This window comes from Homo sapiens, chromosome 4, assembly GCF_000001405.40.
Source record: "Homo sapiens chromosome 4, GRCh38.p14 Primary Assembly".
NCBI lineage: Eukaryota > Metazoa > Chordata > Mammalia > Primates > Hominidae > Homo > Homo sapiens.
The window spans coordinates 88,215,825-88,239,630 of NC_000004.12; the positions used below are offsets into that span (position 1 = coordinate 88,215,825).

Sequence of the window (23,806 nt, forward strand, 5' to 3'; positions counted from 1 at the left end):
TCTAGGTCCGTTAGGCAGAAACCTAACTCGAGTTGCCAAATTGTGCGTTGTACCTAATTCCCAGACCTATGTCAGTTAGGAGACTGAAAGCTCTTCCATCCACTGATGAATATCATGAATCTTCCTTCAAACCAGTGTTTCTCTCAACCTTGGCCCCACTGACATTTTGGGCAGGGTATTTCTTTGTTATGGGGGCTAGCTTGCACATTATGGATCTCAAAATGATGCTGACACTGACAAGAAGGGGACGACTACACTTAGGCGAGACTGTTAAACCCACTTAGGTGTGACTGTTAAAGACTGTGCTGAAGGGAAATCCTCCCAGTGGACAGAACCTTGAGCGATATATCTGGCTGTTTACTTCATGCTTAAGGCACAAAGATCTCTAGTGACTTATGAGCCGTGGCTACTGGATTGGCTGGCTGGCTGGAGACTTGAAAACAACTAATTGAAAAATTGGTGATTAGATGGACTATGCATGGACCTTTTGGAATGGACACAGAGGGTGGGAATATTTTTGTGCCGCGTGTACATCCAGTAGATTGTATCACGATGGTGGAGGTTCTCAAAAATCAAATGATCAAGATGATCTATTTTGTGAATGTCAGTAAGCCTCTTTCTCCAGGTATCCCAGTGCTTGTTCAGTGGCTCCGTGTGCAAACTGTGCCAGCATGGAAGGAAGCTACGTGTGAGCTAATAACATGGTTTTCCCTCACCAAGGCTGCTGTAACTATACCTACTGCTGAATGTCCCGTTGACCAACAGCCAAAGTCAACACTAAGCCGCTGATAAGGCACTATTGTCCGGGGTGACCAGATGGCCACCTAGTAGTAGCTGATTGTGTGAACTTTTCCCAACATGAAAGGAACAGCCTTTTATCTTCTCAGGAATAGCTACATATTCTGGATAAAATTTTGCACTGTGTCCAAGCGCAGTGGTTCACACCTGTAATTCCAGCACTTTGGGAGGCCGAGGAGGGCAGATCACCTGAGGTCAGGAGTTCAAGACCAGCCTGACCAAAATGGCGAAACCCCCCTCTCTACTAAAAATACAAAAATTAGCTGGGCGTGGTGGTGGGCACCTGTAATCCCAGCTACTCGGGAGGCTGAGGCAGGAGAATCACTTGAACCCGGGAGGTGGAGGTTGCAGTGAGCCAAGATCATGCCACTGCACTCTAGCCTGGGTGACAGAGCAAGACTCCGTCTCAAAAAAAAAAAAAATTTTTTTTTTACATTTTATTCCCTGCCTGCAGAGCTTCTACTAATACCACTGTTATGAAGTTACAGAATGCCTTATCTGTTGCCTTAGTATTCCATATAATATCGTCCATGATCATGGGCATATATTATGGTAAAAGAAGTCTCATATTCTCAAAATTCAGTATATACCTAGATCTTACAGAGCAGCTGGCTTGATAGAACAGTGAATTGGCCTGCCTAAGGCTTAATTATAGTGTGAGCAGGGATACCCTGCAAGGTTGGGATGTTGTCCTACAGGAAGGGGAAGATACCTTAAACCAGCAGTCAATATTTGCACATAACAAGAATGCATGGAGGCCAGGCGCGGTGGCTCATGTCTATAATCTCAGCACTTTGTGAGGCCGAGGTGAGCAGATCACTTGAGGTCAGGTGTTCAAGACCAGCCTGGCCAATATGGCGAAACCCTGTCTCTACTAAAAATTACAAAAATTAGCCAGGTGTGGTGGTGTGTGCCTATAGTCCCAGCTACTCAGGAGGCTCAGGAGGGAGAATTGCTTGAACCCAGTAGGTGGAGGTTGCAGTGAGCCAAGATCACGCCACAGCACTCCAGCCTGGGCAACAGAATGAGACCCTGCCTCAAAAAAAAAAAAGAATGCATGGATGCATGGGACTAAACATGGTGGCTCATGCCTGTAATCCCAGCACTCTGGGAAGGTGAGGCAGCGGGGTCTCTTGAAGCCAGGAGTTCAAGGCTACCCTGGGCAACATAGACCCAGACTCTAAAAATAAAATATTAGCAGTGCACAGTAGCATGTTCCTGTAGTCCCAACTACTTAGGAGACTGAAGTGGAAGGACTGCTTGAGCCCCGGTGTTTGAGGCTGCAGTGAGCTATGATCATGCCACTGCACTCCAGACTGGTTGACAGAGTAAGACGATGTTTCTAAAAATTAAAAAAAAAAAAAAAAAAAGGAACACACGAGTGTGAGAACCCAGGTAGAATGTTTCTGCTATCCTCACTGGTCTCCCAGGTGTTTCTCTAGCACGCTAGACATGTTCCTGCCTCCGTTCCCTCTACCTGAAATACTTTCCTCCCAGATGATATCTTCATTCCCTCTCAGTCTTTCTTCAAATATTTGCTCAAATGTCAACCTCTTAACAAGGCCTACCCCAACCACTCTGTTTAAAATTGCAAAACCTTTCTTTGCCTTCCTGATTACTTCTTACTATGCATCTGTCTGTAACCCTTCTCACCGTCTAACATACATTATTTATTTGTTTATTGTTTATTATTTGTCCTCCTCCGTCTAGAAAGTGAGCTTCATAACAGCAGGTATTTCTATTTCATTCACTGTTCTATCCCTAGTGACTAACGCAGTGCTGGAAACATAGTAGGAACTCAGTAAACATTTCTCTTGTTTTTTAATTAATTTTTTATTTCCCTAAGATTTGGGGAACAGGTGGTATTTGGTTACATGAGTAAGTACTTTGGTGGTGATTTGTGAAGTTTTGGTGTACCCATCACCGAAGCAGTACACACTGAACCCAATTTGCAATCTTTTATCCCTCACCCCCTTCCCACCCTTTCCCCTGAGTCCCCAAAGTCCACTGTTAAGCCTTTGCATACTGATAGCTTAGCCCCTACTTATGAGTGAGAACGTACGCACATGCAATGTTCAGTTTTCCATTCCTGAGTTACTTAGAATAATAGTCTCCAATCCCAATAAACATTTCTTGATTGACTTGAATGACTATCATGAAAGTTCTCAGAGAAGAGTAGACAATATCTCTAGTCTATTATCTTTACCTACATCATTGGTTGGTTGGTAAACTTTTTCTGTAAAAGGCCAGATAGTGAATATTTTAGGCTTGTGGGCCATGCAGTCTTTTTCCAATCACTCTATATTGGCATTGTAGCACCAAAGCAGCCATTGACGGTAGGTAAATGAACAGGCGATACATAGAAAGGAAATACGGGAACTGCTGAGGTCCTGGGAATTGGGAACCTAAGCAGGGAGTTGATGTGAAAAGGGAAATATTTTACACAGAGGTGCTTGTACACTTTTCTTCATGACTTCTCACTCCACTATCACGGCTAATACTGCTTTGAAGTTAAATGTTCAGTTTGATTTTTACTTTTGAGTATTGTACATTTAAAATTCCCACAAAGTACATTTACTAACACAACCTCCAGGTGGAGCCCTTTCTTTTTTCTCAGTACACTGTTCCGCAAGTATTCACTGAATAGCTACCATGTGACAAAAACGAAGTGTTAGGATACAGCTTTGAATAAAGCAAAGATCTTATGCTCGAAAAGCTTATATTCCAATGGAGAAGACAGATGATAGCACGTATAAAAAAGGTAATTTCAGACAGTGATATGTTCTACAAGGAAATTACATAGAGCAATAGGAGAGGCTTCCCTGAGGACATGCTATTTCAGCAGAAAAGTGAAGAATAAGTAGGAGGCAGACATGCAAATACCTGAGGGTAGAGTTGTTTTATTTTCTTCTACTGTGGTAAAATATTCATAATATAAAAATGTACCATTCAAATTTTTTTTTTTTTTTTTTTTTTTGAGACCGAGTCTTGCTCTGTCACCCAGGCTGGAGTGCAATGGCGCGATCTCCGCTCACTGCAAGCTCCGCCTCCCAGGTTCACGCCATTCTCCTGTCTCAGCCTCCCCAGCAGCTGGGACTACAGGCGCACAGTGCCACGCCTGGCTATTTTTTTTTTTTTTTGTATTTTTAGTAGAGATGGGGTTTCACCATGTTAGCCAGGATGGTCTCGATCTCCTGACCTCGTGATCCACCCGCCTCGGCCTCCCAAAGTGCTGGGATTACAGGCTCAAATAGTTTTTAAGTGTACTGTTTTATGGCATTAAGTATATTCATTGCTGTGCAACCATCACTACCATCCATCTCTAGAACTTCTTTCATCTTCCAAACTGAAACTTCTTGCCCATTAAACAACTCTTCACTCCACCCTGTCCTCAGTGGCAACCATTCTACTTTCTGTCTCTATGAATTTGACTACCCTCACTACCTAATATAAGTGGAATCATGTAGTATTTGTCCTTATTTCTCTTAGCATAATGTCTTCAAGGTTCATTCATGCTGCAGTCAGAATTTTCATCCCTTTTGAGGCTGCATAATCCTCCATTCTCTGTGTATACCACATTTTGTTTATTCATTCAACAGTTGATGAACATTAGGGTTGCTTCCACTTTTGGCTGTTGTAAATAATGCTGCTGTGTATAAACATCTGTCTGAGCCTCTGCTTTCAGTTCTTTTGGGTATATATCTAGAAGTGGAATTGTGGGATTGTATGGTAATTCTATGGTTAGTTTTTTGAGGAAGCACCATACTGTTCTCCACAGTAGCTACACCATTTTACATTCCACCAACAGTGCACAAGAGTTCCAATCTCTCCACATTCTTGCCAACAATTGTTATTTTCAATTTGTGTGTGTATTTCTTTCTTTTTCTAAAATATCTAAAATGTGTTTATTGGGGTGGCTTCCCATTTATCTTGATTCAAAGTGCTTTTACTGCTGCTTCCTCCTGAAGGAGCATCCTTCTGTCAGCCTTGCTTTGCCTCCTGTAGACTGACAGAGAACGGTAGACCAGTGATATGGTTTGGCTATGTCCCTACCCAAATCTCATCTTGAATTGTAGTTTCCATAATCCCCATGTGTCATGGGAAGGACCTGGTGGGAGGTAATTGAATCATGCGGGTGGTTACCCTCATGCTGTTCTTGTGATGGTAAGTTCTCATGAGATCTGATGGTTTTATAAGGCACTTTCCCACCCCTCTTTGCTCAGCACTTCTCCTTCCTGATACCATGTGAAGAAGGACATGTTTGCTTCCCCTTCTGCCATGATTGTAAGCTTCCTGAGGCTTCTCCAGCCCTGTAGAACTGTGAGTCCATTAAACCTCTTCCGTTTATAAATTACCCAGTCTCTGGCTGGGTACAGTGGCTCAAGCCTGTAATCCAAGCACTTTGGGAGGCCAAGGTGGGCGGATCACTTGAGGTCAGGAGTTCAAGATCAGATTGGCCAACATGGTGAAACTCCATCTCTACTAATAATACAAAAATTAGACAGGTGTGTTAGTGTGGACCTGTAATCCCAGCTACTAGGGAGGCTGAGGTACAAGAATCGCTTGAACCTGGGAGGCAGAGGTTGTAGTGAGCTGAGATCATGCCACTGCACTCCGGCCTAGGCAAGAATGAAACTGTGTCTCAAAATAAATACATAAATAAAATAAAAATAAACTACTCAGTCTCGGGTATTTTTTCATAGCAGCATGAGAACGGACTAATACAGTAAATTGGTACCGCAGAGAGTGGGTTGCTGCTATAAGGATACCCAAAAATGTAGAAACGACTTTGGAACTGGGTAACAGGCAGAGACTGGAACAGTTTGGAGGGCTCAGAAGAAGACAGGAAAATGTGGGAAAGTTTGGAATTTCCTAGAGATTTGGACGGCTTAGAAGACAGGAGGATGTGGGAAAGTTTGGAACTTCCTGGAGACTTTTTAAATGGTTTTGACCAAAATGCTGATGGTGATATGGACAATAAAGTGCAGGCTGAGGTGGTCTCAGATGGAGATGAGGAACTTCTTGGGAACTGGAGTAAAGGTCACTCTTGCTATGCAACAAGACTGGTGGCATTTTGTCCCTGCCCTAGAGATCTGTGGAACTTTGAACTTGAGAGGGATGATTTAGGGTATCTGGTGGAAGAAATTTTTAAGCAGCAAAGCATTCAAGAGGAAGCAGAGCATAAAAGTTTGGAAAACTTGCAGCCTGATGATGCAATAGAAAAGAAAACCCTTATTCTGGGGAGAAATTCAAGCACACTGAAGAAATTTGCATAAGTAACAAGGAGCTGAATGTTAATCACCAAGACAATGGAGAAAATGTCTCTAGGACATGTCGGAGACCTTCACAGCAGCCCAACCCATCACAGTCCCTGAAGACTAGGAGGGAAAAGTGGTTTCCTGGGCTAGGTCCAGGGCCCTCTTGCTATGTGCAACCTTGGGACTTGGTGCCCTGCATCCCAGCCACTCCATCTGTGGCTAAAGGGGCCAACGTATAGCTCAGGCCATTGCCTCAGTGGGTGTAAGCCCCAAAGCCTTGGCAGCTTCCATATGGTGTTGGGCCTGCAGGTGTGCAGAAGTCAAGAATTGAGTCTGGGAACCTCCGCCTACATTTTGGAGGAAATGTATGGAAGTATGGAAATGCCTGGATGTCCAGACAGAAGTCTGCTTCTGGGACAGAGCCTTCATGGAGAACCTCTGCTAGGGCAGTGATATGGTTTGGCTGTGTCCCCACCCAAATCTCATCTTGAATTCCCACATGTTGTGGGAGGGACCTGGTGGGAGGTCACTGAATCGTGGGCCGCTGTTCTCGTGATAGTGAATGAGTCTCATGAGATTTGAGGGTTTAAAAAAAATAGAAGTTTCCCTGCACAAGCTCTCTCTTTGCCTGCCACCATCCACATAAGATGTGACTTGCTACTCCTGGCCTTCTGCCATGATTGAGGCTCCCCCACCCATGTGGAACTGTGAGTTTGCCATTGAACCTCTTGCCTTTGTAAATTGCCCAGTTTCGGGTATGTCTTTATCAGCAGTGTGAAAATGGACTAATACAGGCAGCATGGAAGGGAAATGTGGGGTTGGAGCCCCCACACAGAGTCCCCAGTGGGGCACCGCCTAGTGGAGCTATGAGAAGTAGGCCACCATCCTCCAGACCCCAGAATGGTAGATCCACCAACAGCTTGCCCCATGCACCCGGAAAAGCTGCAGACACTCAACACCAGCCACGAAAGCAGCTGGAAGAGGGGGCTATACCTTGAAAGGCCACAGAGGAAGAGCTGCCCAAGGCCATGGGAACCTACCTCTTCCATCAGGGTGACTTGGATATGAGACATGAAGTCAAAGGAGATCATTTTGGAATGTTAAGGTTTAATGACTGCCCAGTTGGATTTCAGACTTGCATGGGCCTATAGCCCCTTCATTGTGGCCAATTTGTCCCATTTGGAATGGGTGTATTTGCCCAATGCCATTACCCCCATTGTATATAGGAAGCAGCTAATTTGCTTTTGATTTTACAGGCTCATAGGTGGAAGGGACTTGCCTTTTCTCAGATAAGACTTAGGACTTGGACTTTTGGGTTAATGCTGGAATGAGTTAAGACTTTGGGGGACTGTTGGAAGGGCATGATTGTGTTTTAAAATGTGAGGACATGAGATTTGGGAGGGTCAGGTGAGGAATCATATGGTTTGGCTGTATCCCCACCTAAATCTTATCTTGAATTATAGTTCCCATAATCCCCACATGTCACAGGAGGGACCCAGTGGGAGGTAATTGAATCATGAGGGCAGTTACCTTCATGCTGTTCTCGTGACAGTGAGTTCTCATGAGATCTGATGGTTTTATAAGGGCCTTTCCACCCCCTCACTCTGCACTTCTTGCTGCTGCCATGTGAAGAAGGATGTGTTTGCTTCCCCTTCTGCCATGATTGTAAGTTTACTGAGGGCTCCCCAGCCCTGTGGAACTGTGAGTCAATTAAACCTCTTTCTTTTATAAATTACCCAGTCTCAGGTATTTCTTCATAGCAGTGTGAGAATGGACTAATACAAGCAGCGAACACACACCACTACTGTGTGTGCATGATTAATGATCATGATGATTACAGCATCCTGGGCATTTCACATCCCTGAAGTAGGAACTGGAGCTCTGTACCAGGCACTTCTTGTATTTCCTCTTTTCCTCATCTGGAGAGGGATGAAGGAGATTTTTTTGTAGGAGGTATGTTCACATGGGGAGGTCAGAACTACCAGAAAGGCATTTTTTTTTTTTTTCAAATAATGGCCATCCTTATTGGGGTAAAGTGGTATCTCATTATGGGTTGACCTGTATTTCCCTAGTGACTAGTGATGGTGAGCATCTTTTCATGTGCTTATTAGCCATTTATATATTTTCTTTGAAGAAATGTCTATTCAAATTATTTGCCTACTTTTTAATCATTTTTTTGTTGTTAAGCTGTAGGAGTTCTTTATATATTCTGGATATGAAGCCATTATCAAATATGTAATTTTCTCCCATTCTGTGGGTTGTCTTTTAACTCTCTTGAAAGTGTCTAGACTGGGCACAGTGGCTCACGCCTGTAATCCTAGCACTTTGGGAAGCCAAGGCAGGTGGATCACTTGAGCTCAGCCTGGGCAACAGAGCAAAACCCCTTCTCTACTAAAAAATACAAAAAATTATCTGGGTGTGGTGGTGGGTGCCTGTAGTCCCAGCTCCTAGGGAGGCTAAAGTGGGAGGATCACCTGAGCTGGGGAAGTTGAGGCTGAAATGAGCCGAGATGGTGTCACTGCACCCCAGCCTGGGCAATGGGAGTAAGACCCTGTCTCAAAAACAAAAAACAAAAAGCAGAAGATAAAAGACAAGTAAAAAGTGTCCTCTTTTTTGTTTGTTTTTTTTTGAAACAGGGTCTCTCTCTGTTGCCCAGGCTGGAATGCAGTGGCGTGATCATGACTCACTGCAACCTCGACTTCCTGGGCTCAAGCAATCCTCCTGCTTCAGCCTCTAGAATAGCTGGGACTATAGGTGCGCACCACCACACTGGGCCAAAAGTGTCCTCCTTTGATGCATAAAAGTTTTAAATTTTTTTTAATTTTGATGAAGTCCAATTTATCTAATTTTTATTTTGTTGCCTGTGCTTTTGGTGTCATACCCAAGAAATCACTGCCACAGCCAACGTCATGAAGCGTTCCCCTACGTTATCTTCTAAGAGTTTTGCAGTTTTAGCTCTTTGTGTCTTTGATAATTTTTGTATAGGGTGTAAGGTAAGGGTCCAATGTTATTCTTTTGCATGTGGCTATCCAGTTTCCCCAGCACCATTTATTGAAAAGACTGTCCTTTTCCCATTGAATGGTCTTGGCACCTTTGTCAAAAACCACTTGGCCGTGTGTGAGGGTTTATTTCAGGGCTTTCTATTCTATTCCATTGATCTGGATGTCTGTCTTTATGTTAGGACCACACTGTTTTGATTACTGTAACTTCATTGAGGGTAGAGTTTTAAATCAGAGGTCACAGCAAGTTCAAAGAGTTACAGCAGGGGTTGGTAAACTTTTTTTTGTAAAGGGCCAGATAGTGAATATTTTGGGCTTCACAGGCTGTATTGTATGGGCTGTGTCATGACTCCTCTACTCTGCCGTTATAGCACTAAAGCAGTTGTCGACAATGCATAAACAAGAGGGTATGGCTGTGTTCCAATAAAACTTATTTATAAAAATAAGCAGGAAGGATTTGTCACAAAGGCAGTAGTTTGCCAACCCCTACACTAGAAGTCACAGTTTGGCATTTTCAAAGGCTTGGAGGAAGGCAATGTGATAAGAACAATGGTGAGAGTGAAGCATGATGAGGTTGGAGAAAGGGGCAAGGGCCAGATCACAGAGCCTTGGAGACCACAGCAGGATTTCATCTATTCTTTACCCATTTATTCACCAAATAGCTATCAAGGACCTACTATGAGCTGGGGCTGGGGCTCCATAGGAGGTAGACTGTATCTTAGTTCTCACAGGGCTTTGATGTAGACAGGAAGCATAAGCTGAGCATTTTAATATGGTATCATATGAGTCATGACAGGCTCCTGATGGGATCTCTGCTCAGTGCTTTTCCCTACTGCCTTAGTGTATTAGTCCATTCCCACACTGCTGATAAAGACATACCCAAGACTGGGTAATTTATCAAGAAAAAGAGGTTTAATGGACTCACAGTTCCACATGGCTGGGGAATCCACATGCCTTTCACAATGATGGTGGAGGGCAAAAGGCACATCTTACATGGTGACAGGGAAGACAGAAAATGAGAGGCAAGTGAAAGGGGTTTCCCCTTATAAAACCATCAGATCTTGTGAGACTTGTTCACTACCAGGAGAACAGTATAGGGGAAACTGCCCCCATGATTCAATTATCTCCCACCGGGTCCCTCCCACAACACATGGGATTATGGGAGCTACAATTCAAAAAGAGATCTGGGTGGGGACACAGCCAAACCATATCACTTAGTTTAAGTCTTATTATTTCTCTCTGGGACTATTGCAACAGTCTATTCAAACAGGTTTCTGCCTCCAGCCTCACTTTCTTCCTACCTGGCATCTATGCTACAGCAAGAGACATTTCTAAAATGCAATTCTGATTGCACTTCCCAGCTTGAAGCTGTGTTGATGGCTTTTCATCACTGTCAGAGTCAAGTCCAAATCTGTCATAATGATGTGGAAAGCCCTACATAACCATGCTAGCTGACAGCCCAGGACAATTAGTCCCTCACATTCACACACACAAGAACATGTTTGACCATGACTAAACCTGGGGCAACACCTACAACCGAAAAGAACATTTGCTATTGGTGTGAATCTTGTTGTTGGTGTTTCTATTGTAAAGTATAATTATTGAGCAAGACTTAGTGATAATCATAGCAAACTCACAGAGATACTCTGTGTCCTGCACTGCTAACTCATTTAATCCTCACAACTACACTATGAGGTAGGTAGTATTATTATTCTCATTTTATAGATTAGGCAACTGAGGCATAAGAAGACTAACTTTCCCAGGATCTCATAGCTTGCACATGTGATAGCATTAATATTCAAACCAAGGAATTCTGGCATGATAATCTATTATTCAGTACCCTGACATGTTCCTTTTAGCAGCAAATATACTAAAATTGGAATGATACAAAGATTAGCTTGGCCCCTGGGCAAGGATGACACGCAAATTCGTGAAGCATTTTATATTTAAAAAGAAAAGCCATGGCTCAAGCCTGTAATCCCAGCACTCTGGGAGACTGAGGTGGGAGAATCATTTGAGCCCAGGAGTTTGAGGCCAGCTTGGGCAACGTACCAAGACCCAGCCTCCACAAAAAATTTAAAAATTCGCTGTGTGTGGTGGTGCGTGCCTGTGGTCCCAGCTACTCGGGAGGTTGATATGGAAGCCTTGAGGTAGAGGCTGTAGTGAGCCTTGTTCATGCCACTGCACTCCCGCCTGGGTGATACAGCAATACCCTGTCTAAAAAAAACTAAAAAATAAAAACAAATATCACTTCTGTAATCTCAGCACTTTGGGAGGATGAGGCAGATGGATCACCTGAGGTCAGCAGTTCGAGACCAGCCTGCCTGACCAACATGGTGAAACCCTGTCTCTACTAAAAATACAAAAATAATCCAGGCCTGGTGGCAGGCACCTGTAATTCCAGTACTAGGGAGGCTAAGACAGGAGAACTGCTTGAACCCAGGAGATGGAGGCTGCAGTGAGCCGAGATCGCGCCATTGTACTCCAGCTGGCCAACAAGAGCGAAACTCTGTCTCAAAATAAATAAATAAAATAAATAAATAATATACATATACAAAAGTACACTAATACCCCCTCGCTAAACCATAAATGTATTCTTTTAAAATATTGACTGGAGCTGTGACTTTTGTTTGAAGGTGTGATCTCTGAGTGGTGGCACTAAAATCACCTGGGAGCTTATTAGAATGCCAATTCCCACGCCTGGGGCCTGACCTAGGGAAGCAGAATCTCTGGAGTTGGAGCCCAAGGATTTGCGTTTTAGCAAGCTCCCTAGGTGACATCTAAGCCTGAGAAAGTTTGAGAAGCATTACTGTCAAATATTTTTTTCCTGGGGCGTAAAGACCTTAATGGAGACAAAGCTTAAGACAAACACATGAGTAATTTTGACCAAAACAAAGTAGAAATAGGATTATTTTTAATGCAAAGATTGCAAATTATGACATAAAGGTTAACAAACCTTTGTACAGACCAAGAGGTCATCAGAAGTCTTGAGAAGATGCCGAGGCCAGAAAAGCACAGGATGCACCTGAACTAAGAGCAAACCAGCGTTGAGTTTGAATCCCAGCACACCCACAGACCAGCTGTGTGCCTTTGGCAAATTGCTTCACTGGGACCTTCATTTCTCCATTCAGAGGTTGAAATTACAATCTCCTTGACCCATATACTCCAGGAAGGTTGTGAAAAATCAAGGGGATAATGTATGGGACAGTGCTTTGTACAGTTGGATAATGTGGTAATCAGGTTTCATTTTCTGCTGTAACACTTCACAAAATGATATATGCACTTTCCCTTCTCCTGTTCAGGAAGCAGATGGGATTTTGAGTCTTGTAGTTCCCTAGGGGAACTCTATTTTCTACAGTATCAGCTGCAGGAGTAGACAGCCGGACTGAGGGATTACTCCAGGCTTGAGAGAGAGGGAAATGGCCTCATCCGAGAAAATGGGTCCAGAGAGTTGGCAGATGATGGTAGAAACCAGAATGTATGTCTCTAAAGTCATCTGCAGCCTTACAATCTACCCCCAAAAAGTCTAATTCAGACCCGGGATAGCTTAGGCTGATACTCAGCCCCACACATGCTTACTGCCTACCTGCCATCCGCTGTTGGGTGGGCTGATTACAACTGTGTTGTATTCTGATCAGTCAGTGCTTATGCTACAAGGGTTATGGTTTTTCATAACCTCTGATTACAGACCATAGTAGAAGGGAATGTTATTTGAAACTTAGTTCAAACAGAAGCGATTCCTGTCTGTCTGGCAGTGGTTCTGAAAGGTGAAGCCAGCTGGACTTCCTGGGTCAAGTGGGGACTTGGAGAACTTTTCTGTCTAGCTAGAGGATTGTAAACGCACCAATCAGCACTCTGTGTCTAGCTAAAGGATTGTAAATGCACCAATCAGCACTCTGTAAAAACACACCAATCAGCACTCTGTGTCTAGCTAAAGGATTGTAAACGCACCAATCAGCGCTCTGTGTCTAGCTAAAGGATTGTAAATGCACCAATCAGCACTCTGTAAAATGCACCAATCAGCACTCTGTCTAGCTAAAGGATTGTAAATGCACCAATCAGCATTCTGTAAAAATGGACCAATCAGCACTCTGTAAAAGGGACCAATCAGCAGGACATGGGCAGGGCCAAATAAGGGAATAAAAGCTGGCCACCCAAGCAAGCAGTGGCAACCGCTTGGGTCCCCTTCCACACTGTGAAAGCTTTGTTCTTTCGCTCTTCATAATAAATCTTGCTGCTGCTCACTCTTTGGGTCCGCACTACCTTTGTGAGCCATAACACTTGCTGCGAAGGTTTGCAGCTTCATTCTTGAAGTCAGCGAGACCAAGAACCCACCGGAAAGAACCAACTCTGGACACAGTTCCATGTGTTCATACCAGGCCTCACCAGGCCTGCACACTCCTCTGACTATCACTTGTATAGCCCTTCCTTGATTTATGACAAATGGCTTCAGCATCTTCACTAGAACAACAAAATTGGCTGGACACAGTGGCTCACACCTGTAATCCCAGCACTTTAGGAGGCCGAGATGGGAGGATCGCATGAGCCCAGGAATTCGAGACCAGCCTGGGCAACATAATGAGATCCCGTTTCTATAAAAAAATAGAACAAAATTTACAACCTACCTACTCTGTCTCTGTCACATTTTTCCAACTAAGAAAGATACAAGCTTCTACTCTAGGAGAACGCCCATGCATGTGTGGGAAAGATTCTATTTCCAGGATAGGGTTCCTTTTATTCATTTTGTGAAGCTGTGTCTCCTGTCAACTCCTGGCCACCATTCTCCTTTTCTCCCCACTTTTTTCCCATTGCTTTCTTCTCCCCTCAACTGGGGACACAATAGGTATATTTCCTCGCCATTCTCTTTTTTCCTCTTGGCTTGTTTCTTTTGGGTTAAATGCAACTTTCAGATAACTGTAAATTGTTTGGGACAAGGAACATACTGCATTTAAAGAACACTACCAGGCCTGTTACAGGAGGATAAAATACATTCTATTCCCTATGCAAACTGATTTTCAACAATGTAATAGATTCATATGCCTTATAATCTTCAATTCTGAATGATAGGAGAAAGAAATCAGCTATTTTTTCTGGCATGCATTATTATTATTATTATTATTATTATTATTAGAGACAGAGTTTCGCTCTTGTCACCCAGGCTGGAGTACAATGGCGCGGTCTTAGCTCACTGCAAATGCTGCCTCCTGGGTTTAAGCGATTCTCCTGCCTCAGCCTTCCAAGTAGCTGGGATTACAGGCGTGTGACACCACGCCCAGCTAATTGTTGTATTTTTAGTAAAGACAGGGTTTCACCATGTTGGCCAGGCTTGTCTCGAACTCCTGACCTCAGATGATCCACTTGCCTCGGTCTCCCAAAATGCTGGGATTACAGGCATGATTACACCGCACCTGTTATATATATATATATATTTTTTTTTTTGGCCACATATATATATATATATATATATTTTTTGAGACGGAGTCTCGCACTGTCGCCGCACCCGGCCATATTTTCAATTTAAGCTGAAATGTTCAAAGTGACCACCAGCCACACCAGATGAGGCATGATATAGGCAGTTAATACAAAAATTACAAAAGGATTTCTGGCTCTGCTCCAAGTGGCCTATATAATCTAAGGAGAAGCCCAACATCCTCTCTCACTTAGGGGTAATCTGGCTTACCACACCTAGGATCTGCTTAACAGAAACCCCAAAGCACAGAGATAGCCATCAAAGTAGGTACAGCCAGGAAAAGGATGTTGTCTGATTGTCTTCTCAGGTGCTCAACATAAATCATGTGTTCAGCCAAATACCCTTATCCTGCCTACAATGCCCAACCCCTTCCAAAAATGCAAAAAACTGACAGAGTTTGAGCCCTTTTTACTCAAAGTGTGGTCCATAGAGGTCAGCTGAGATGTGCAGAATCAGAGGCCCACCCCAGGCCCCCTGAGTTCTGCAGAGCCTGCGTTTCAGCAAGATCTCCAGGTGATACATATGCAAGTTAGTGTATGAGAAGTACCAATTTAAGTGACACATTTGTTAAAGCACATATCAAAAAAGAATCAAGATTTTCTACGAAGTATGAAGATTGGAAAAAACAAAAACAAACAACTCACCTCAGTTATGATGTGTGACGCTGGAAGCAAAGCAGCCCAAATCTCAGTGCAGAGACAGTGGTAATACGAAGAAGATTTCTACACTTAGGAGTTTTCCTAGACAGACTTCAACCAGGACCCACGCCTACTAAACAGACGAGTATCAGTCCAGGAACTTTCCTTCCTGCCTGCTCTTGGGGCAGGAGAAAGAATGAGAGAGGAAACTTGGCAGCCCCCAAAGTAGATCCTGCAGCTACCAGGGAACATTGAGGCTTTCCGAGTAAACTAGCCTCGAGGAAATGTCCCGAGTGAAATTAACAGCTCTCCTATCTCCTTGGGTTCCTTTTTTCTCCACTACTAGCTGATTATGAACCACATTTCTTTCTCGATCACTGGGATTCAAACAAAAGACCTAATGGTTCCAGTCAGCGTGGGATCCTCTTCTGGCATTCCTAGCAAGGGGCTAGAAGAAGGGGGAAAGTTACATGTCAGAGAGATATTTTTGTATCTTTCTCTTTGTGCCGCGGAATTCTGATGACAGCATCTCCAACACAAACAGCAACTTTATTTTCGAAATGGAAGGATAAAAACCAATTCTAGCAAATGGCTTTGCTCTGTGCGTAAACTTCCTGTGCTTTTTTAACCCTGATGTAACTGAGGGTCTCCTCTCACAGGCCCTGCCTTCTAGCACACACAAAAAAACAACCAAGCAGGACTATGACATAATTTGAAAAGGAAGCGAATTAAACCAAAACAAAGAGTTAGGTTTCAATGCAAAGGCCCACCAGAAATCTAAAGAGGACCGAGAAGCTGTATACTTGGAGCATGCTATACTTTTCATGTTATTCTTTCCTAAACCAAAAGTAAAATAGGAAGTCAAGACTGTGCTAAATAGGCATTTCTCTCTCTCTCTCTCTCTCTCTGTGTGTGTGTGTGTGTGTGTGTGTGTGTGTGTATTTTAAATAGAGACGGGGTCTTGTTATATTGGCCAGGGTGGTCTCGAACTCCTGGCCTCCAGCAATCCTCCCACCTCAGCCTCCCAAAGTGTTGGGATCACAGGCATGAACCACCAAACCTGGCTTTTTTTTTTTTTTTTCTTAGGCAAGATCTCACTTTGTCACCCAGGCTGGAGTTAAATAGGCATTTCATATTCTGAAAACATGATAGATGTCAAAAGAAAAAATATGACATTTACTAAGTGCTTCTAATTCCACTGTTTACTGGCCTTGAAAAGCTTCTTAAGCCAAGCCTTCCCCAACAATAAAATAGTGATAACAATAATACCTTCCTTACAGAGTTGTCATGATAAATTTCATGAGATTCACAAAATACCGATTACTGAATTTGTCTTGCTGTTAAGTTCTGTTTATATTTAAGTCACTATCCTGATTATTCACTGTGTTGTGCAGTACCTAGGACAAATTAGGCATTTTGTAAATATTTATTGAAATGAAATGAACGTTTAAAAAATCTTGAAGTTGTTAAGAAATTCCATTTATCTATTTTTATAAATTTATTTTAATATGGTAAAATATGTATAACATAAAATTAGCCATTTGAAACATTTTAAGAGTTCAAGTCAGTAGCATTAATTACATTCACAATGTTGTGTCACCGTCACTGTTTCTAAGACTTTTTTGTCACCCCAAACAGATACTCTGTAATCATTAAGCAATAACTCCGTCAGGGATTTTTTTTTTCTGTTTAATTTTAAATTTTTATTTCTTGTAGGTACATAGTAGGTGTATATATTTATGGGGTACATGAGATATTTTCATACAGGCACACAATGTGTGGTAATCTCATCAGGGTAAATGGGGTATCCACCACCTCAAACATTTATCCTTTGTATTATAAGCAATCCAATTATACTTTTTTCATTTTATTTATTTATTTATTTATTTTTTTTGAGATGGGGTCTCACTCTAATGCCCAGGCTGGAGTGCAGCAGTATGATCTCAGCTCACTGCAACCTCCACCTCCAGGGTTCAAGCAATCCTCCTGCCTCAGCCTCCCAAGTAGCTGGGATTACAGGTGTGTGCCACCACATGTGACTAATGTGTTTTTGTTATTTTTAAGTGGACAATTAAATTATTTTTGACTACAGTCACATTGTCGTGCTAGCAAATACTAGGTCTTAATTATTTTTTCTAATTATTTTTTGTACCCATGAACCATCCCACTTCCCCCCACCTCCCCAATACTTTTCCCAGCCTCTGGTAACCATTCTTCCACTCTCTATCTCTATGAGTTCAATTGTTTTAATTTTTAGCTCCCACAAATAAGTAAGAACATGTTACGTTTGTGTCTCTGTGCTTGGCTTGTTTCACTTAACATAATTACCTTCAGTTCCATCTGTATTGTTGCAAATGATAGGATCTCATTCTTCTTTTTTTTGAGACAGTCTCGCTCTGTCACCCAGGCTGGAGTGCAGTGGTGCAAGCTCAGCTCACTGCAAGCTCCACCTTCCGAGTTCATGCCATTCTCCTGCCTCAGCCTCCCAAGTAGCTGGGACTACAGGCACCCGCCACCATGTGGGTATTTTTAGTAGAGACGGGGTTTCACTGCGTTAGCCAGGATGGTCTCAATCTCCTGAATTCGTGATCTGCCCACATCGGCCCCCAAAGTGCTGGGATTACAGGCATGAGCCACTGCACCTGGCCAGATCCCATTCTTTTTCATGGCTAAATAGCACTCCACTGTGTATATGTACCACATTTTCTTTATCCATTTGTCTGTTGATGGATACTTGGGTTGCTTCCAAATATTGGCTATTGTGAATACAGCTGCAACAAACATAGCAATGCAGATATCTCTTCAATATACGGATTTCTTTTCTTTTAGATTTATACCTAGGAGTGGGATTGCTGGATCATATGGTATCTCTACTTTTAGTTTTTTGAAAAACCTCCAAACTGTTCTCCATAGTGGATGTACTAATTTATGTTCCCACCAACAGTGTATGAGGGCTTTCTTTTCTCTATCCTCACCAGCATTTATTATTGACTGTCTTTTAGATAAAAGCCAGTTTAACTGGGGTGAGATGATATCTCATTGTAGTTTTGATTTGCATTTCTCTGATGATCAGTGATATTGAGAGCCTTTTCATATACCTGTTTGCCATTTGTACATCTTCTTTTGAGAAATGTCTATTCAAATCTTTCACCCATTTTATACTTAGGCTATTAGATATTTTTCCTATAGAGTTGTTTGAGCTCCTTGTATATTCTGGTTATTTATTCCATGTCAAATGGAGAGTTTACAGATATTTTCTCCCATTCTGTGGGTCGTCTCTTCACTTTGTGGATTGTTTCCTTTGCTGTACAGAAGCTTTTAAATTTGATATGGTCCCATCTGTCCATTTTTGCTTTGGTTGCCTGTGCTTCTGGGGTATTATTCAAGAAATCTTTGCCCAGTCCAATGTCCTGGAGAGTTTCCTCAAAGTTTTCTTTAGATAGATTCATAGTTTGAGGTCTTTAATCCATTTTGATTTGATTTTTGTATATGGTAAGAGATAGGGGTCTAGTTTCATTCTTCTGCATACAGATATCCAGTTTTCCCCACACCATTTATTGAAGAGACTGTCCATTACCCTCTGTATCTTCTTGGCACCTTTATCAAAAATGAGTGCACCATAGGTGTATGGATTTGTTTCTGGGTTCTCTATTCTGTTCCACTGGTCTATGTGTCTGTTTTTCTGTTTTTATGCCAGTATCATGATGTTTTGGTTACTATAGCTCTGTAGTATAATTTGAAGTCAGTGTGATTCCTCCAGTTTTGTTCTTTTTGCTTAGGATAGCTTTGGATATTCTGGGTCTTTTGTGGGTCTATATAAATTTTAGGATTCTTTTTTTTTCTATTTCTATGAAGAATGTCTTGGTATTTTGATAGGGATTGCATTGAATCTGTAGATTGCTTTGGGTAGTATGGACATTTTAACCATAATGATTCTTTGAATCCATGAACATGGAATATCTTTCCCTTTTTTGTATCCTTTTCAATTTCTTGCATCAATATTTTATGGTTTTCGCTGTAGAGATCTTTGATTTCTTTGGTTAATTCCTAGGTATTTTATTGTATCTGTAGCTATTGTGAATGGTAATACTTTTTAAATTTCATTTTTAGGTTGTTTGCTGTTGGCATATAGACATGCTAATGATTTTTGTATGTTGATTTTGTATCCTGCAACATTACTGAATTTGTTTATCAGTTCTAACAGGTTTTTGCTGGAGTTTTTAGTTTTTCCAAATGTAAGATCATATCATCTGCAAACAAGGATAATTTAACTCCTTCCTTTCCAATATGGATGCCCTTTCTTTCTTTCTCTCATCTGATTGTTCCAGCTAGGACTTCCAGTACTTCATTGAATAACAGTGGTGAAATTGGACATTCTTGTCATGTTTCAGATCTTAGAGGAAAAGCTTTCAGTATTTTTCCCATTCAGTGCGATGCTAGCTCTGGGTCTGTCATATATGGCTTATATTATGTTGAGATATGTTTCTTCTATACCCATTTTTTTGGGGGAGTTTATCATGAAGGAATGTTAAATTTTATCAAATGCTCTTTCAGCATCAATTGAAATGATCTTATGTTTTTTGCCCTTCATTCTGTTGATATGACTTATCACATTAATTGATTTGCATATGTTGAACCATTCTTGCATCCTTGGGATAAATCTCAATTGGTCATGATGAATGATATTTTAATTTGTTTTTGTATTCAATTTGTTAGTATTTTGATGAGGATTTTTGCATCAATATTCATCACTGATAATAGCCTGTCCCTTTTTTAAAAAATATGTCCTTGTCTTTGTGGGGTTTTTTGGTTTTTGGTGTTGTTTTGTTTTGTTTTGAAACGGGGTCTGACTCTGATGCCCAGGCTGGAGTGTGGTTGCATGATCACAGCTCCTTGCAGCCTTGACTTCCCAGGCTCAAGTGATACTCCCACCTCAGCCTCCTGAGTAGCTGGGACTATAGGCATGAACCATCATGCTTGGCTTATTTTTGTATTTTTTGTAAAGTTGGGGTTTCACCATGTTTCCCAGGCTGGTATCATTGTGTTTTTGATATGTTTTGACATGTTTTGGTATCAAGGTAATGCTGGCCTTGTAGAATGAGTTTGGAAATGTTCCCTTTTCCTTTCCTTTTTGGAATAGTTTGAATAGGATAGTATTTGTTTTTCTAGCAAGTATTTGGTAGAATTTAGCAATATAGCCATTGAATCCCAGGGTTTTTCTTGCTGGGAGATTTTTCATTACAGCTTTAATCTCATTACTTGCTATTGGTCTGTTCAGGTTTTAGATTTCTTCATGGTTCATTCTTGGTAGGTTATATGTGTCTAGGAATTTTTTCATTTCTTCTAGCTTTTCCAATTTATTGGCATATAGCTGTTCATAGTAACCATTAATGATCCTTTGAATTTCTGCAGGATTGGCTGAAATGTCTCCTTTTTCATCTCTGATTTTATTTATTTGGGTCTTCTCTCCTATTTTTTTTTCATTTGTGTGGCTAAAGGTTTGTCAATTTTGTTTATATTTTCAAAAAATCGGCATTTTATTTTGATCTTTTGTATTGTTTTCTTCATTTCATTTATTTCTGCTCTGATCTTTATTATTTCTTTTCTTCTACTACTTTTGGGTTTGGTTTGTTCTTGCTTTTCTAGTTCTTTAAGATGAATCCTTAGGTTGTTTATTTGAAGTTTTTCTTCTTTTTTGATGTAGGCACTTACAGCTGTAAACCTTCCTTTTAGTACTGCTTTAGCTGTATCCCATAGGTTTTGGTATGTTGTGTTTCCATTATCATTTGTTTCAAGGAAGTTTTAAATTTTCTTTTAATTTCTTCATTGACTCAGGAGCATATTTTTAAATTTTCTTGTGTTTTGTGTAGTTTCTAAACATTCCTCTTGTTATTGATTTCTAGTTTTATTGCATTGTGGTCAGAGAAGATGGTCCATATTATTTCATTTTTTTGAATGTTTTAAGACTTGTTTTGAGGCCTAACATAATCTATCCTTGAGAAAGATCCATGTGGTGAGGAGAAGAATATGTATTCTGCAGCCACTGGATGAAATGTTATGTAAATATCTATTAGGTTCATTTGGTCTATAGTGGAGATTAAGTCTGATCTTTCTTTGTTGATTTTCTGTCTGGAAGATCTGTTCAATGATGAAAGTGGGGGGTTGAAGTCTCCAGCTCTTATTGTATTGGATTCTATCTCTTTAGTTCTAATATTTGCTTTATATATCTGGGTGCTCTAATGTTGGTGCAGATATATTTCAATTGTTATATACTCTTGCTGAATTGACCCCTATATCATTATATAATGACTTCTTTGTCTCTTCTTAGAGTTTTTGTCTTGAAATCTATTTTGTCTACTCTTTTTTGGTTTCCATTGGCATGGAATATCTTTTTCCATCCCTTTCTTTTCATTCTATGTGTGTCTTTTTAAGTGAAGTGTGTTTCTTGTAAAGCAACAGATCATGAGATCTTGTGTTTTCATCCATTCTGCCACTCCATGTGTTTTTATTAGAGGGTTTAGTTCATTTATATTCAGTGTTATTATTGATGAGTAAGGACTAACTCCCACCATTTTGTCATTTGTTTTCTGGTTGCTTTTTCCTCCTTTCATTCCTGCCTGTCTTCCTTTCAACCAAGATAATTTTCTCTGGTGGTATGATTTAATTTGTTGCTTTTTATTTTTTATGTATCTGTTGTATGTTTTTTGATTTGAAGTTACTGTGCAGCTTGCAAATACTATCTTATAACCCACGATTTTAAGCGGATAACAACACTGCTTGTTTAAACAAACAAGCAAAGAGAATAATAAAGACCAATAGTCTACTCCTTAATTTCATCTGCCAACTTTTAAACTTTTTGTTGTTTCTGTTTATATCTCATTTTACCGTCTATGTCTTGAAAGCTTGTTGTAGTTATTTTTTTATTGGTTCATCTTTTTAGTATTTCTACTTAAGATTGGAGTAGTTAAGTCTACACTTACAGTGTTATAATATTCTGTGTTTTTCTGTGGCGTTACTATAATATTACCAGTAAGTTTTGTACCTTCAGATGATTTCTTCTTGCTCATTACTGTTCTTTTCTTTCTGATTGAAGTACTGTCTTTAGCATTTCTTGTAGTACAGGTCTAATGTTAATGAAATCCCTCAGCTTTTGTTTGTCTGGAAAAGTATTTCTTTTTCATACTTGAAGGACATTTTTGCCAGATATACTATTCTAGTGTAAGAGTTTTTTTACATAAGCACTTCAAATATGTTATGCCACTCTCTCCTGGCCTGTACAGTTTCCACTGAAAAGTCTGCTGCCAGACTTATTGGCACTTCATTGTATGTTACTTGTTTCTTTTCTCTTGCTGCTTTTTGAATCTTTCCTTTATTTTTGATCTTTGGGAGTTTGATTATTAAATGCCTTGAGATGTTCTTCTTTGGGTTAAATCTGATTGGTGTTATATAATCTTATATTTGGTTATCAATAACTTTCTGTGGGTTTTGGAAGTTCTGTGTTATTCCTTTGGATAAACTTTCTATCCCTATCTCTTTCTCTAGCTCCTTTTTAAGGCCAATAACTCTTAGGTTTGCCCCTTTAAGGCTAATTTCTAGATCTTCTAGGCATACTTTATATTTTTTTATTCTTTTGTTTCCTCTGACTGTATATTTTCAAGTAGCCTGTCTTCAAGCTCACTGATGCTTTCTTCTGTTTTGATTTATTCTGCTGGTGAAAGACTGATGCATTCTTCACCATGTCAATTCCATTTTTCAACTCCAAAATTTCTGCTAGATTCTTTCTAATTATTTCAATTTCTTTGTTAAACTTATCTGACAGAATTCTAAATTCCTTTTCTGTGTTATCTTGAATTTCTTTGCATTCCCCCAAACAGCTATTTTGAATTATCTGTCTGAAAGGTCATATATCTCTGCTTCTCCAGGATTGTTCCCTGTTCCCTTATTTAGTTCATTTGGTGAGGTCATGTTTTCCTGGAAGGTCTTGATGCTTGTGGATGTTCATTGGCGTTTGGGCATTGAAGAGTCAGATATCTATGGTAGTCTCTGCACTCTTTCCAGGCATTTAAAAAGACTTGGGTGTTGAGATCTAAGACATATCTACATTAGGGGGCATCTCAAGCCCAGTAACACTATGGTTCTTCCAGACTCATAGAGGTACTGCCTTGATAATCTTGAATAATATTTGGAATAATTCTCTGGATTACCAGGCAGATTCTTGTTTCTTTCCTTACTTTCTTCCAAGCAAATGGAGTCTGTCTTTCTGTGATGAGCTGTCTGGAGCTGGGGGTGGGGTGACACAAGCACCCCTGTGGCCACCACCACTGGGACTGAGTTGGGACAGACCTGAAGCTGGCACAGCACTGAGTCTCACCCAAGGCCTGTTGTAACCAGTACCTGGCTACTGCCTATGTTCACTCGAGGCCCTAGGGCTCTGCAATCAGCAGGTGGTAAAGCCAGCGAGATTTGTGTCCTTCTCTTCAGGGCAGCAAGTTCCCCTAGACCCTATTCTTTTCCAGAGATGCCATCCATGAACTAGGGACTAGAGTCAAAAATCTTAGTAATCTACCTGGTGCTCTATTCTACCACAGCTGAGCTAGCACACAAGTTATGTGACACAGTTATTTCTACGCTTTCCTCACCTTT

General features: G+C 41.1%; 1 protein-coding gene and 1 pseudogene across 3 annotated transcripts in view; one reads left to right on the forward strand and one right to left on the reverse strand.

The window, feature by feature from the left end:
* The window catches only part of ABCG2 (ATP binding cassette subfamily G member 2 (JR blood group)), a 141,363-nt gene extending 125,561 nt beyond the window's left edge, over positions 1 to 15,802 (reverse strand). For 2 of the 3 annotated variants that reach the window (NM_001257386.2, NM_001348985.1), the window contains exon 1: positions 15,170 to 15,802. The gene's annotated coding sequence lies outside the window, so the exon portion shown is untranslated. The remainder of the gene's footprint in view (positions 1 to 15,169) is intronic. The other variant, XM_011532420.4, reaches the window with a different exon arrangement.
* On the forward strand, positions 10,903 to 11,003 carry RNU6-1298P (RNA, U6 small nuclear 1298, pseudogene; annotated as a pseudogene).